Source organism: Homo sapiens, chromosome 3, assembly GCF_000001405.40.
Source record: "Homo sapiens chromosome 3, GRCh38.p14 Primary Assembly".
Classification (NCBI taxonomy): Eukaryota; Metazoa; Chordata; class Mammalia; order Primates; family Hominidae; genus Homo; species Homo sapiens.
Genome location: NC_000003.12, coordinates 5,042,270 through 5,056,226, shown reverse-complemented (window position 1 = coordinate 5,056,226; position 13,957 = coordinate 5,042,270). Strand labels below are relative to the sequence as shown.

General features: G+C 44.0%; 1 annotated feature.

The window, feature by feature from the left end:
• Positions 781-840: an enhancer, noted in NCBI's record as "active region_19375". NCBI's record gives its function as "activates an Ori minimal core promoter by ATAC-STARR-seq in GM12878 lymphoblastoid cells {active_cell/tissue: GM12878}" and the evidence as "EXISTENCE:reporter gene assay evidence [ECO:0000049][PMID:35858748]".

Below are 13,957 nucleotides of genomic sequence, written 5' to 3'. Positions count from 1 at the left end.
CCAAGGGTGGTGCTGCTGTCAATGACATCATTTTCCAAAATGGCAAACAAGTCATGGTGAAGTCCGAGGGCCTTCCTTCTATTTCCACAGTAGCAGCATTCCTGGGAAGTTTGGTGTTTGTGTTTATATGAAAAAAAAAAGAGTTAGGATCTAGGTTCAGAGAATGAAAAATGTTTTTTACTTGCACAATGTCTGGTAGGACATTACAAATCTTGGGGGATACAAGTCCGTTTTTGCCCCATAAGCCAGTTTCTCACTGGCCCTCAAAGCAAATAGGACATCAGACTTCCCCATCTCCACCGCCACACCCCTACAATCCTGTGACAACCAAAAGTACCCTCACAAGTAAACATCCCCTAAGGATGGTACCACCCTCTTTGAGAAACACTTCCTTGAAGTCATAAGTTGTAGGAGAACTTCAGGTCTTTCAATAGTTCCTTGGGTTACCACAATCCCTACCACATACCCTATCACTCAGCTTGGAATCAAAGGGTTAGCAGCAGGCGAGTGGAGTGGACTGTGAAGACTTGCAGATACCTCCAGGAAAGAAAAAAACAACTGCCCCTTTGAGCTATAGGCTGAGCCTCAGGCACCCGGTGAAACTCCAGCTCCAAAGAGCACACAGTGCTAAGGAAATAGGTTGTAAAAGGAAGAAACTAGGCAAAGAGATGAGTGGGACGGAGAGGCCCTGCAGGACACAACAGGGTATGTAAGAACAGGAAGGTGAGCTGTAGCCACAGAAGAGGAAGGGGTATAGAGCAGGGTTCCACTCCCAAGACAAGGCCCCAGTTATAGAAGAATCACAGTCTCAGGATACTTCCAGAAATTCACAGACAAAGAGATGGGTGGAGGAGACAGTGAGCACTCGTTAAGAACTTAAGTTTTGGGACAAGGCATGGTGGCTCATGCCCTATAGTTCCAGCACTTTGAAAGGCCAAGGTGGGAGGATTGCTTGAGCCCAGGAGTTTGAGACTAGCCTGAGCAACATGGCAAGACCCTGTCTCTATAAAAAATAAAATAAAACATATTTTAAAATTTTATAAAGAACTTGGGCTATGGGATCAGATGGGATCAGAGAGGTTCAAATTCTAGCTCCACCACTGACGAGAAGTGTGACCTTGGTTGGGCCCATTGTACTTTTTTTGAGGCAAAGTCTTTCTCTGTCACCCAGGCTGGATTGCAGTGGTGCAATCTCAGCTCACTGTAGCCTCCACCTTCCAGGTTCACTAGATTCTCCTGCCTCAGCCTCCTGAGTAGCTGGGATTATAGGCGCCCACCACCACGCCTGACTAATTTTTTTTTCTATTTTTAGTAGAGACAGGGTTTCACCATGTTGGCCAGGCTGGTCTCAAACTCCTGACCTCAAGTGATCTGCCCACCTTGGCCTTCCAAAGTGCTGGGATTATGGGCATAAGCCACTGTGCCCAGCCAGGCCCGTTGTTTAACCTCTCTTTGACTCAGCTTCCTCATCTATAAAATGGGCACAAATAACAGCCCATATTGAGTACAGTTGTTGCGAAATTTTAGTGAGATCACAGGGAAAGTGCTTAGCATGGGTGACCTGTAAGCCGCTCAGGGGCAGGGTCCTCTCCAGCTTTGCTCACCTTTGTACCCGTAAGTACTTGACACCAAGTCACACAATCAACTTTAGTTGAATGAACTGATGAAGAAGGGACCTATGGCAAGTAGCCGTTCTCACTACTATGAACGAAAACAAGAGGGGGAGCCTGTTACTGGAGCTGAGGTAGGAAGAGGGGACTTGGTTTTTTTACTGGGACACAAGATCACAGGCAGTGCTAGTTGCAAGAAGAGGAAGTCAGATCACCAGAGTAACTGAACCAAGGCTTCTGAAATCTCTGAGCAAGGAAGCACTGGGATCAGCACGTGGGAGTGCAGCTGAGCCCCTGGGAGAAAGCCACGCAGCCCCAGCAATGGTTAGAAGAGACCAAAGGAGACAGAGTGCTCCCGGGCACCAGAAATCCCTGGGAGGAGGGCTCAGGAGCACTCCCATGGGAGCACTCCATTGACATGAAAACCTGCGGCCCCATGACAGGTAGGGCAGGCCTGCTTCCTCCCCTCTAAGAATTGGACAAATAAGAATTAAAGAGAAGCAGGATGGGTGCCATGGCTCACACCTGTAATCCCAGCACTTTGGGAGGCTGAGGTGGGTGGATTACTTGAGGTCAGGAGTTCGAGACCAGCCTGACCAACTTGATGAAACCCCGTCTCTACTAAAAATACAAAAATCAGCTGGGCGTCGTGGCACACGCCTGTAATTCCAGCTACACGGGCAGAGTTGCTTGAACCAAGGAGGAGGTTGCAGTGAGCTGAGATTGAGCCACTGCACTCCAGCTGGGCAATAGAGTGAGACTCTGTCTCAAAAAAAAAAAAAAAAAAGAATTAAAGAGGAGACACACAAAGTGAGAGGAAATTAGGCCAGCCTTGGCTCCTGGCCACCTCTGCAGCCCCACACCACATCACTCTCCCCTTTGCGTTCAGAGCTTCAGCCACACTGGCCATTTCCTTATTTCTCAAAAATGCTAAGCTTCCCCACCCACGTCCCCACCACACATTCTTTGCCTGGCTAATTTCTGCTCACCCTTCAGGTCTTGGCTCAAATATCATTTCCTCGGAGAAGTTGTCCATGAACCCCCAGACTAGGCGGGGTGGCCTTCACTCACTCTTATACTGCTCTGTTGGAGGTGCCTCCTTCTTGGCATCTCTCACTGTGGTTGTTGGGGTAATAATTTGTTCAGTGTCCATCTCTTCCCCTAGTCTGTACATTCTTGAGGGCAGGCACTATGTCAAATCCATGACCCCATATCCTCAGGGGTGTAGCTCTGTGCCTGGCACAGGGTTAGCCCTCAGTGAGTGTTAATAGAAAGGAACATGGATGGGAAGGGAGAAGGAGCCCACAACTTCACAGCAGGGTTTACTGGGTTTGTCCTAAAAGATAATCAGATCCATAAACAAGCTCCACTCTTAAGAAAACCAGGCCACCAACATTCCTGACTGAATATTCATTTTGCAGCAATTTCTCACCCTATTTCAGGGCCTAGCTCACAGAAAAGATTTATGTTGTCCTCTCCTCTAAGATGCGAATGGCTGTGGTAGCAACTACTTTGATTTATTTTCTCCTCCTCCGTGCCATCCAGCAGGATGTCATGAGCCATGTCGGGCACAGGTCTGACTATTTTTTTCCATCTGTTTGATCTTGCTGGTGAGAAAATACATTTGGTACTAAATCCAAGGCAGAAATGGAAGCCAAAAAACAAGATTCCTCCCTACCTCCTGTGTTCCAGACCACCTCACCCTCACCAACACCACCACCACCACCACGCAAAACCCTGCTGAGCTAAAATCTACCAAATAAGATAGCTGAGTACCGTTTTCTGGTTCATGGGCAAGAAACCATAGTTTGTTTCTAGAGATTATTTCATTCTTTTTCCTTCCACATCATCATTCATGGGAAGTTCAGATTCTTTTAGGTGCTTAGAGAGAGAATGGTTGGCTCTAGAAAGCTAGCTGTTCTTGAAGGTACAGAAATGGCAGTAGGGCCTATTTGAGTTTGCCAGCACTTTACTTGCAATAACTAATGATCACTTCCAATTTTTTTTTTATCCTAACCATTAGGCCACATATCAACTTCCAGTCATTGAGCCGTCACTCTGAGCCAAGAACTATATACACGATTCTACCTAATCCTACTCCCAACAACTCTATGGAACAGATAATTTTATTGTCTCCATTTTACAGATGAGAAAAACTGAGGCCTAACTTGAGTAACTTCCCAGACCGACAGGATCAGCAAGAGGTAACAGTAAGAGTCAAACTTAGGTCTCTCTGCTTAGAGACCTTTGTCTGATCTCTAAGCACCACATTTTGTTACAACAATAATTGCTACTAATAGGGTATTTTGATGGTTGAATTAGTTAATTAATGTAGTGACAATAGCAACAACACTATTGAGAATAATTACAGCAGTGTTTAATGACTGTTAGCTGCTGCTGTTATTATTGTTGTCATTATTTTATTACCCCTGACTAAGAAATACCATCTAAGAAGGGAGAAAGAGCCATTCCTCTAACAACTCTTTCTCTTTGGCCTCTGTCCAGGGTTTGATCACAGAGGCAGCTGCCTCTGTGACTTGGGCACCTGTCTACTGAGGTGGCCACAGCCCAATTGCTCGGTTCTCCCTGGGTCAAGGATGTACCATCACATGGGCCCCAAACAAACACCCAAGTGGGATTTGAAATGCAGCCGTGAAGGTGACAAACCCCAGCTTCTATTACTGGTTCTTAGAACAAGGCTGTTTCCCCACATTGAGTCCTGCTATGATTCATACAAAATGAGAGCTGAGTGACAAGTTGAAGTCTTTCTTTTTTTAAATATACCGACCTGAAGAGACCTTGGGAAAATGGATGGGGCATTTTTAATAGCAGAAGACTACTTTAGAAAACCCAAAGCTATTTCAGAGAGAGGGAAAAATAATTCATATACATCTATATCTGAAAACCAGCTTATAATATCAAACATAATCTTCCCCTGTCCTGACTTTTTAAACGTGTTAATTCTCTGTTATAAAGAAGCTGGCTCTCCACGTGGAAGGCCACACAGGCACGGGGAATACTGGGATCAGCAGCATAAACTAAGCGAGGCAATTCATGGGGGAGGCTATTCATGGACAGAGGCAGCTCTGGGTGTGAGGCTACTCAGATTCAGGTTCAAATCCCGGCTCCACCATTTACCACCTGTGTCACTTGGGGCAAATCTTTTTAATTTCTCTGAATTGTTATGAGAGAGTCATATCACATCCACCTGGTAGATGTTTCATGGGGACCTGAAAATATAGTTGAGTTCTTTAGGTGAGCAGAGGAAGTAGGGCACAGTAGTTACGAGCTTTATGCTTGCAACCAGACCTCAGATAAAATCCCAACTCTGCCGTCTCCTTACGGCTTTGGACACATTGCTGTCATGAGCTTTGGTTTACTGATCCGTGGGAAAATCACCTACCTCTGAGGGTGGGAGTAAGAACTATGTGTGATGATGTAAGTAATGTGCTTAACCCAGTGCCTGGTACTTAGGAGGGCCTTGAGAAACGGTAAAGCCACCTAGTAGGTATGGGCAGGACCCGCGTCAGGGCTTCTTTGCTTTTGGTGTTTTGTCTTCTTTGTTTGTTATGAAATAGAGATGGGGTTTCATTGTGTTATCCAGGCTGGTCTCAAACTCCTAGGCTCGAGCAATCCTCCCACCTCAGCCTCCCGAAGTGCTGGAATTATCGGCATGAGCTGTGGCGCCAACCTGGGCTTCTTTATGACCTGGCCAGAGGTCTGAAATCAAGTGCCCAGTCTGGCATTGGGCAGCAAGTCACTCTATGCAGACTGAGGGATTCAACTTGGAGGTCAGCTCAGCCATTGGTGGGCACTTCCTCTTCCGCCCCGGAGCCTCCTGAGAGATGCTTGCCACATTTCCTCACCCCACCCCACCAACTGCATCCTTAGATGTGGGCTCTGACATTTGCCAGTGCATCTATCAGCAAAGGCTGAGGAAGGGGTTGAATTTTATTTATTTATTTTTGAGACAGAGTCTCACTTTGTTGCCAAGCCTGGAGTGCAGTGGCGCCACCTTGGCTCACTGCAACCTCAACCTCCTGGGTTCAAGCAATTCTCCTGCCTCAGCCTCTCCGGTAGCTGGGATTACAGGTGTGCACCACCACACCTGGCTAATTTTTTGTATTTTTAGTAGAGACAGGATTTCACCATGTTGTCCAGGCTGGTCTCGAACTCCTGATCTCAAGTGATCCACCTGACTCGGCCTCCCAAAGTGCTGGGATTACAAGTATGAGCCACCGCACCCAGCCGGGAGGGGTTGAATTTTAAATTGATGCAAATTTTTCTTATGGAGATGAGGCTAATAAGAAAATTGGTGGGGAGAGAATCACAGAGGATTTTTGCCTCGACCCTGGAATAATACAGAGTTGCTTCAGAGACAACTTGCCTGCATTCCTTTTAAAGGTAAATTTAGTCCTGGATAAAGTTGCAGATTAACACACCTGCTCTTTTTTCCTCCCACAAAGTGGGCACTGTCCCTTGTTATAAAGGGATCTTTGGCTGACGTCAGTAAGGGAATTCAGTGATCAGCCAATATGATCATGGAAATTCTATTTATACCGGGGCTAATCCTTGATTAACTGAAACTGGGGATTCACCTCCTCCTTTGCCTTCCCCAAAGGATTTTTAAAAATTGATTCTGACGTTCCATTCTGTAATTGTAGTTGCGGCACAGACAGGCCAAGAGCAGCAAGCAGGACTTTGGAGTCAGATAGATCTCTGTGTGTCTTATGCCTCATTTTTTATCTGTGAAACAGGACAAGGACCTACTTCATAAGTTTATATGATGATTCGGTGAGCTCAGACGTGTGGCAGAACGGCTTTCCCTCTTGTCTCCCCACACTCACCAGGGATAGCAGATACTGCTAGTTTCCTAGCCAACTGCAATTCCACATGCCTACTGTATTAAAAAGAGAATTCCAGTCTGGTTTACTCTCCTTTCAGTGACCATGTCCTTTATTTTGTAGGGTTACCCTCCTAGGCAGTTCTAGGAAATGAATCTTTTCTCATTTAAGCCAGTCCGCAGGTCTTAATGCTGTTAAGTGGGTAGTTTAAACAAGGGCACGTGATACAATTCTGGCCAATGAGACAAGAAAATTGGTTGGGAAGCCTCTGGAAAGGTTTTCACTGTTTTAAAAAAAGAAAACAAGGGGCTGAGCATGGTGGCTCATGCCTGTAATCCCAGCACTTTGGGAGGCCAAGGCAGGTGGATTGCTTGAGCCCAGGAGTTTGAGACCAGCCTGAACAACATAGGGAGACTCTGTCTCTACAAAAAAAAAAAAAAAAAAAAAAAATGGCTGGGGGTGGTGGTGCGAGCCTGTAGTCCCAGCTACTCAGGAGGCTGAGGCAGGAGGATCACTTGAGCCTGGGAGGTCAAGGCTGCAGTGAGCCGAGATTGCACCACTGCACTCCAGCCTGGGCTACAGAACCAGATCCTGTCTCAAAAAAAAAGAATGAAAGGAAGAAAAGAGAACAATATAGATATGTTTCCCTTTCTATCCCTGGATGTTGTCATCTTGTTAGCAGTAGTGAATTCATATGGGTCTGCAGCAACTTGATTCTTGCCTCCTCGGAGGAAAGAATTCGACCAAGGGGCATAAGGCAGAGGAAGAGACTGAGGCAAGTTTTAAAGCAGGAATGAACGTTTATTAAAAAGTACTAGACCAGGAACAAAAGAAAGTAAAGTACACTTGGAAGAGGACCAAATGGGCAACTTGAGAGATCCAAGTACCTGCTCTTCTGACCCTTGACTTGGAGTTTTATACATTGGCATGGCTCTGGGGTTTGCATTTCTTCTCCCTTGATTTTTCCTTAGGGTGGGCTGTCCACATGCTCAGGGACCTGCCAGAACTTGGGAGGGGCTGCATGCACAGTCTGTTTACTGAAGTTATGCACATGCTCATTTGAGGTATTTTTCCCTTACCAGTCAAGTGTTTCTAGATGAAGGTCATATACCAGTTAAACTTTGCCATTTTGCTTCTCAGTGTGCATGCTTGAGCCCACTTGCCCAACTCCTGAGATCTTATCAGGAAGCTGCTGATCATCAGCTTCAGGTGTTTTCTGTCTATTGAGAGACTACTTTTCCCTGGCACCAGCTCTGACCAATTATTATTTTAGAGATGGTTTAACAATCACCTGATGAACACCTGATGGTTGCCTTACATTCCTGGGGCAGGGGCCTCTCCTGCCCTGCTCATGTCTGCCTAGCTATCTACCCTAACAGTCTCTACATGACACATGAAAGAAGGCAGCCACTTCAGACCATGAAGAGAGCCATCCTATGAGGTTAGGGCAACAAATTGAGACTGGGAGGGCAGAAAACAGAAGGAACCTGGGTGATTGATGATATCATTAGGCCAGTGAATGAACCAAGCTGGCAAATGTCCAATATAAGATAATAAATATCCTCATTGTTTTAGCCACTTCCAGACAGATGTTTTGTTACTTGCAGTCAAAGGCACCCTCATAGGGGTTATCAGGAAGGTTTGCAAATATTTGCATTCTCTCTTTTTGGGCACACGGGAGGTGTATTAGTCTGTTCTGTTCTCACACTGCTAATAAAGAGACTGGGTAATTTACAAAGGAAAGCGGTTTAATTGGCTCACAGTTCAGCATGGCTTGGGAGGCCTCAGGAAACTTACAATTATGGCAGAAGGGGAAGCAAACATGCCCTTCTTCACATGACAGCAGCAAGGAGAAGTGCTGATCAAAGGGGAAAAGCCACTTATGAAACCATTAGATCTTATAAGAACTCACTTACTATAATGAGAACAGCATGAGGGTAACTGCCTCCATGATTCAATTACCTCCTGCCGGGTGCCTCCCATGACACATAGGGATTATGGAAACTGCAACTCAAGATGAGATTTGGGTGGGGACACAGCCAATCAGTAGCATTACACTTCCCTGTCTCCTTTGAAGTAAGGTGCAAGTATTTGGCTTGCTTTGGCCAATAAAATGTGAGTGGAAGTGGTGTGTGTCTTTCCATGCCCTCTTTTCCTATCTAAGCCATCAAGGGTGTGTAGATGAAAACTCTATCAACTTGGATTCCCCAGGGACTATAATAAATAGAGGCCTCTGAAGCCAGCATTATATATATAGTGTGAATAAGAAATGAACTTGGATGTGTTAAGCCAATGAAATTGGAAGTTGTTACTGTAGCAAAACCTAGCTTCTCCTGAATGATACACACCTTAGCAAATATATTTAAATAAGGGGACAGAGACTCTGGAAAAGAAGGAGATGGGAGGTATAGGAGATTTATCAACAGAAGGCAAATCTTTGCTGTGAAAGTCTGACTGATTCCTTCCTAGATAATTTACTCTGTTTTTTAAAAAATAAAAGAGTTTCTTTTTTTTTTTTTTTTTACATAGAGTTAGGTGTCTCGCTCTGTTGCTCAGGTTGGTCTCAAACTCCTGGCCTTAAGTGATCCTCCCACTTTGGCATCCCAAAATGCTGGGATTACAGGTGTGAGCCACTCTGCCTGGCTGTTAATTCACTCTAAAACTAGACTACAGTACAGAATTATTATCCCCTCCCCAAATTGCCTTTAAGATTCAAGCCCCAGGTTGGGAACAGTGACTCATGCCTGTAATCCCAGCACTTTAGGAGGCCAGGGCAGGTGGATTGCTTGAGCCCAGGAGTTCGAGACCAGCCTGGGCAACATGGCAAAACCCTGTCCTGTCTCTACAAAAAAATTCAAAAATTAGCTGGGCATGGTGGCGTACCCTTTAGTCCCGGCTACTTGGGAGGCTTAGGTGGGAGGATCACTTGAGCCTGGGAGGTTGAGGTTACAGTGATCTGTAATCACACCACAGTACTCCAGCCTGAGTGACAGAGTGAGACTCCATCTCAAAAAAAAAGAAAAAAAAAAGTAACTTAAAATTAAAAAAAAAAAAAAGATTCAGGCCCCATCTAGTAGAACTAGACAGAGAAGCCACTCTAGAGATTAAATGAAAGAAAAGGCTAGACCCTATATGAAAGGAGGGGGGTAACGAAATTGAATAGACTGGCTAGGTGCAGTAGCTCACGGCTATAATCCCAGCACTTTGGGAGGCCGAGGCAGGCGGATCACCTGAGTTCGAGACTAGCGTGGCCAACATGGCGAAACCCCATCTCTACTAAAAATACAAAAATTAGCCAGACTCAGTGGTGTGCGCCTGTAATCCCAGCTATTTGGGAGGCTAAGACACGAGAATCCCTTGAACCCTGGAATCGGAGGTTGCAGTGAGCCGAGATCGCACCACTGCACTCCAGCCTGGGCAACAGAGCAAGACTCCATCTCAAAAAAAAAAGAAATTGAATAGACTGAGGGGAGCATGGGATATGAAGAGAAGAAAAGGAAAGATTCAAGCAACAGAGAGAGGTCACATTGGACTCCTAGAGTGCTGAGACCCAAGGCCTTGCACACACTGAAATGGCTGGAAATGAATCGACTAGAGTAGAGAAGTCACTCCTGAATTCCTTAGCCCTGCTTTAGAATTAGCCACTGAAACCCAGAGTAAACAACTCTTCTAGTTCTGATCGTGTAACTTGGCTAACAGTAAGTCCATTTACTTATGGATAGTATATTCATTTCCTAGGGCTGCCATAACTAAATACCACAGACTAGGTGGTTTAAACAACAAACATGTATTTTCTTGGAGCCTGGAGGCTAGAAATCTAAGATCAAAGTATCAGCAGGGTGGGTTTCCTCTGAGGCCTCTGTCCTCAGCTAGGGCTTCCCTCTGTGTGTGTCTGTATCCTAATCTCCTCTTTTTATAAAGACACTAGTCATCTTGGATTAGACCCACACATAAAACCTCATCTTACCTTAATTAATTCTTTAAAGGTTGTATCTCCAAATACAGACACATTCTGGAGTACTGGGAATTAGGACTTCGACATATGAATTTGAGATTGGAGGGACATAATTCAGCCCATAACAGAGTCTTCCTTTTCATGATAAGGGTAATAGTCCTAAGATTATATATGTGAAGGGCCTGGGCCTCAGTAGTTCCAATAAAAGGGAAGTAATACTGTTTCATTGTTAACCCACTATGGGATCATAAATTCCCTGAGGCTGGGGATTATGTTTGTGTACTTCTTTGTGACCTGCAGGGCCCAACATTGTATCATATAGTCGGCACTCAAAAAATGCAGCACTCACACTCTGGATGTTGTAGGAAAAAAATTACAGTGCTGTGGTTAAGAGCATGGCCTTTAAATTCAAGCACACTCAAGCTCAAATTCTTTTTTTTTTTTTTTTTTTTTGAGACAAAGTCACTCACTCTGTCACCCAGGCTGGAGTGCAGTGGTGCAATCTCGGCTCACCACAACCTCTGCCTCCCAGGTTCAAGTGATTCTCCTGCCTCAGCCTCCCAGGTAGCTGGGATTACAGGCATGCGCCACCATGCCCGGCTAATTTTGTATTTTTAATAGCGAGGGGGTTTCTCCATGTTGGTCAGGCTGGTCTCAAACTTCCAACCTCAGGTGATCTGCCCACCTCGGCTTCCCAAAGTGCTGGGATTACAGGCGTGAGCCACCGCACCTGGCCAGTAACTTGAGTTTTTAATATCTACCTCTATTCATTTCCTATTGCCACTACAACAAATTACCACGAACTTAATGGCTTAAAACAAGGCAAATTTATTATTTTACAGTTCTGGAGGTCAGATGAAATTAGTCTCACTGGTCCAAAATCAATATGTCTGCAGGTCCGTGTTCCTTCTGGAGGAGAATCCATGTTCTTGCTACCAGAGGCCACCTGTATTCCTTGGCCCATGGGCCCCTCTCATCTTGAAATTCAGCAACGATTGCATTGCTCCAACCTCTGCTTCTGTCATCACATCTCCTTCTCTGCCTCTGACTCTCCTCCCTCCCTCTTTCACTTACAAGAACCCTTGTGATTACCTTGGGACCATCCAGGATAATCTCCCCTTCTCAAGGCCAGATGATTAACAACACTCATTCCATCTGTAAGCTTAATTCCTCTTTGCCATATAACCTAACATATCCACAAGTGCTAGGGAATAAGATATGGACATCATTCCAGGGGATCATTATTTTACCTATTATACTACCTCTCAGAATTGTTGTGAAGGCCAAATGAAATAAACTATGCAAAGGTAAGGGGTGATTATTCAGCACAGTGCATAATCAATAATTATAGCTACTATTTCTGAGTTACATAATGTTCTTTACTTCCTAAGAATTCATTCTGTGAAATTACTCCTTGAAGGTTGGTATCATTTAGAACATTATAGGCCTGCGAAAATGAGAGTTACTTTGAAATTCAGACAGAATTTGTCTTTGTGTACTGATGTCTGGAATCGTAGCATCTTCAAGCAAACAGATGTTATGGATCATCAAAGCCAGCTCTCTAATTTTACCAAAGAGTTAACTGGGGCCTGGAGATGTCTATAAATGGCAGATCAAAAACTAAAACTTAGATTTGCTGTATGACACATATATTCAATGGCTAATCACGAGGCATTATTTCAATACTTATCTTCTACCTTTTTCCTCCCCGTAATCCAGAAAGACTGGAATCTGCATGATGTTCAATTCTGTCAATAAAATCATAATTTCTTGCATTTTACGTAGCTTTGCTTTTCCAGTGAAGTCAAAGACCCTTATGAAGAACCTTCTCCTGGAAACGGGGTGCCTGGTTGTTCATGCATAGTGACCATTTGTTTTGTGGTCTGATCAGCAATATTTTCTTTGAGCTCCATCCCTCATCCTATTTCATATTAATATATTCAGTTCGTTACCCCCAACCTTCACCCAAAGGTGGCCACATGACCCATTGACCAATCAGAGACTTCCCTGGGATTTTTACTACAGCTATTAAAAATATTTCTTTTTTTCCTCAGATTGTAACATAGGGGCCACCAGCAGCCATCTCATTTATTGTATAGAATTAGAGAAGCATGATTAAATCATCTGTTCCCCTCAAAAGACCAAATATCTAGGGATTCTTATTTATAAGAACCCAAATAAATCTTTCTGTTCTTATTGCTTAAACTGGTTTCATTTGAATGCCTCCAATTTGTATGTCAGAGTCCCCACTAATGCAACTGATATCAATTAAAGTAAAAATGTAATCTTTAATAGAAAACAGCTTCTAAACTTGAAGATTCCAGTTTTTTATAAGTGATTCATGAAACAATACTGAAAGAATATAGGAAATCATTTATTTTTAAAACTTTTTTTAAACTTTAAGTGTGGTAATCCTTAGCAAACTAAAGAACTGGTTTTGTTTTGTTTTTTTTGTTTATTTGTTTGTTGAGATGGAGTCTTGCTCTGTTGTACAGGCTGGAGCACAGTGGTGCAATCTCGGCTCACTGCAATCTCCACCTCCTGGGTTCAAGTGATTCTCCTGCCTCAGCCTCCTGAGTAGCTGGATTACAGGTGCCGCCACCAGGCCCGGCAGTTTTTTTTTTTTTTTTTTCCAAGTAGAGATGAGGTTTCACTATGTTGGCTGGGCTGGTCTCAAACTACTTCCCTTAGGTGATCTGCCTGCCTTGGCCTCCCAAAGTGCTGGGATTACAGGCGTGAGCCACCGCACCCAGCCAAGAACTGTATTTTGATGTGAATGAAGCCTCTTAAATTGTATGACCTGGCCATATGAATATCCAATCAATTACTTTAAAAATATTTACTTTGCATGTACTCTAAAAACATTTACTCTGCAAAAATATTTATATGCCAAGCACAGCTAGGAGCAGGACAACAATCAAGACTCATTTTCTTTCTTCTTTTTACACAAGTCATTTATGCTCACTGTGGCAATTTAGAAAATACAGCCATGCAAAAAGAAAACTAAAATAATTTCTAGTCCAGTTACTTAGAGAGCTGTTATGACTATGCTGAGGTGCACTGACCCAGACACTTTTCCCTGTACATGTCATGATAAAAGCTATCACTTACTGTGCGCCTCATTCATGCCAAGAATTAGGTTCAATGCTTCATGTGGATGATTTAATTTGACCTCACGATAGTTCTATGAAGCAGTGACTCTTCATCATCCTAATGTTATGGCTTGAGAAGCTGAGATAAGTCAAAGTGAAGGAACTTGTACAAGATCACACAGCTAGTAAATAGTGGTGCTGGGACCGAATAAGGGTAATCCCACTTTTATTATTTTAATGCAAAAAATAGGATTGTACTCTTTCGTATCTGCTTTTTTTGTTCAAAAATGTATCCTGAGGATTGTTCCATGAAATAAACCTACCACTTTGTTGTTAAGCACTACAGTGAACACCAAGTCACTCAACCAAGTGCTCACTTTGGACGTTTAGGTCAGTTCTAATTTTCCCACAACTGTGATGCCCACAGTCCAGGATAGGCCTAGGAAAAGGGGAGAG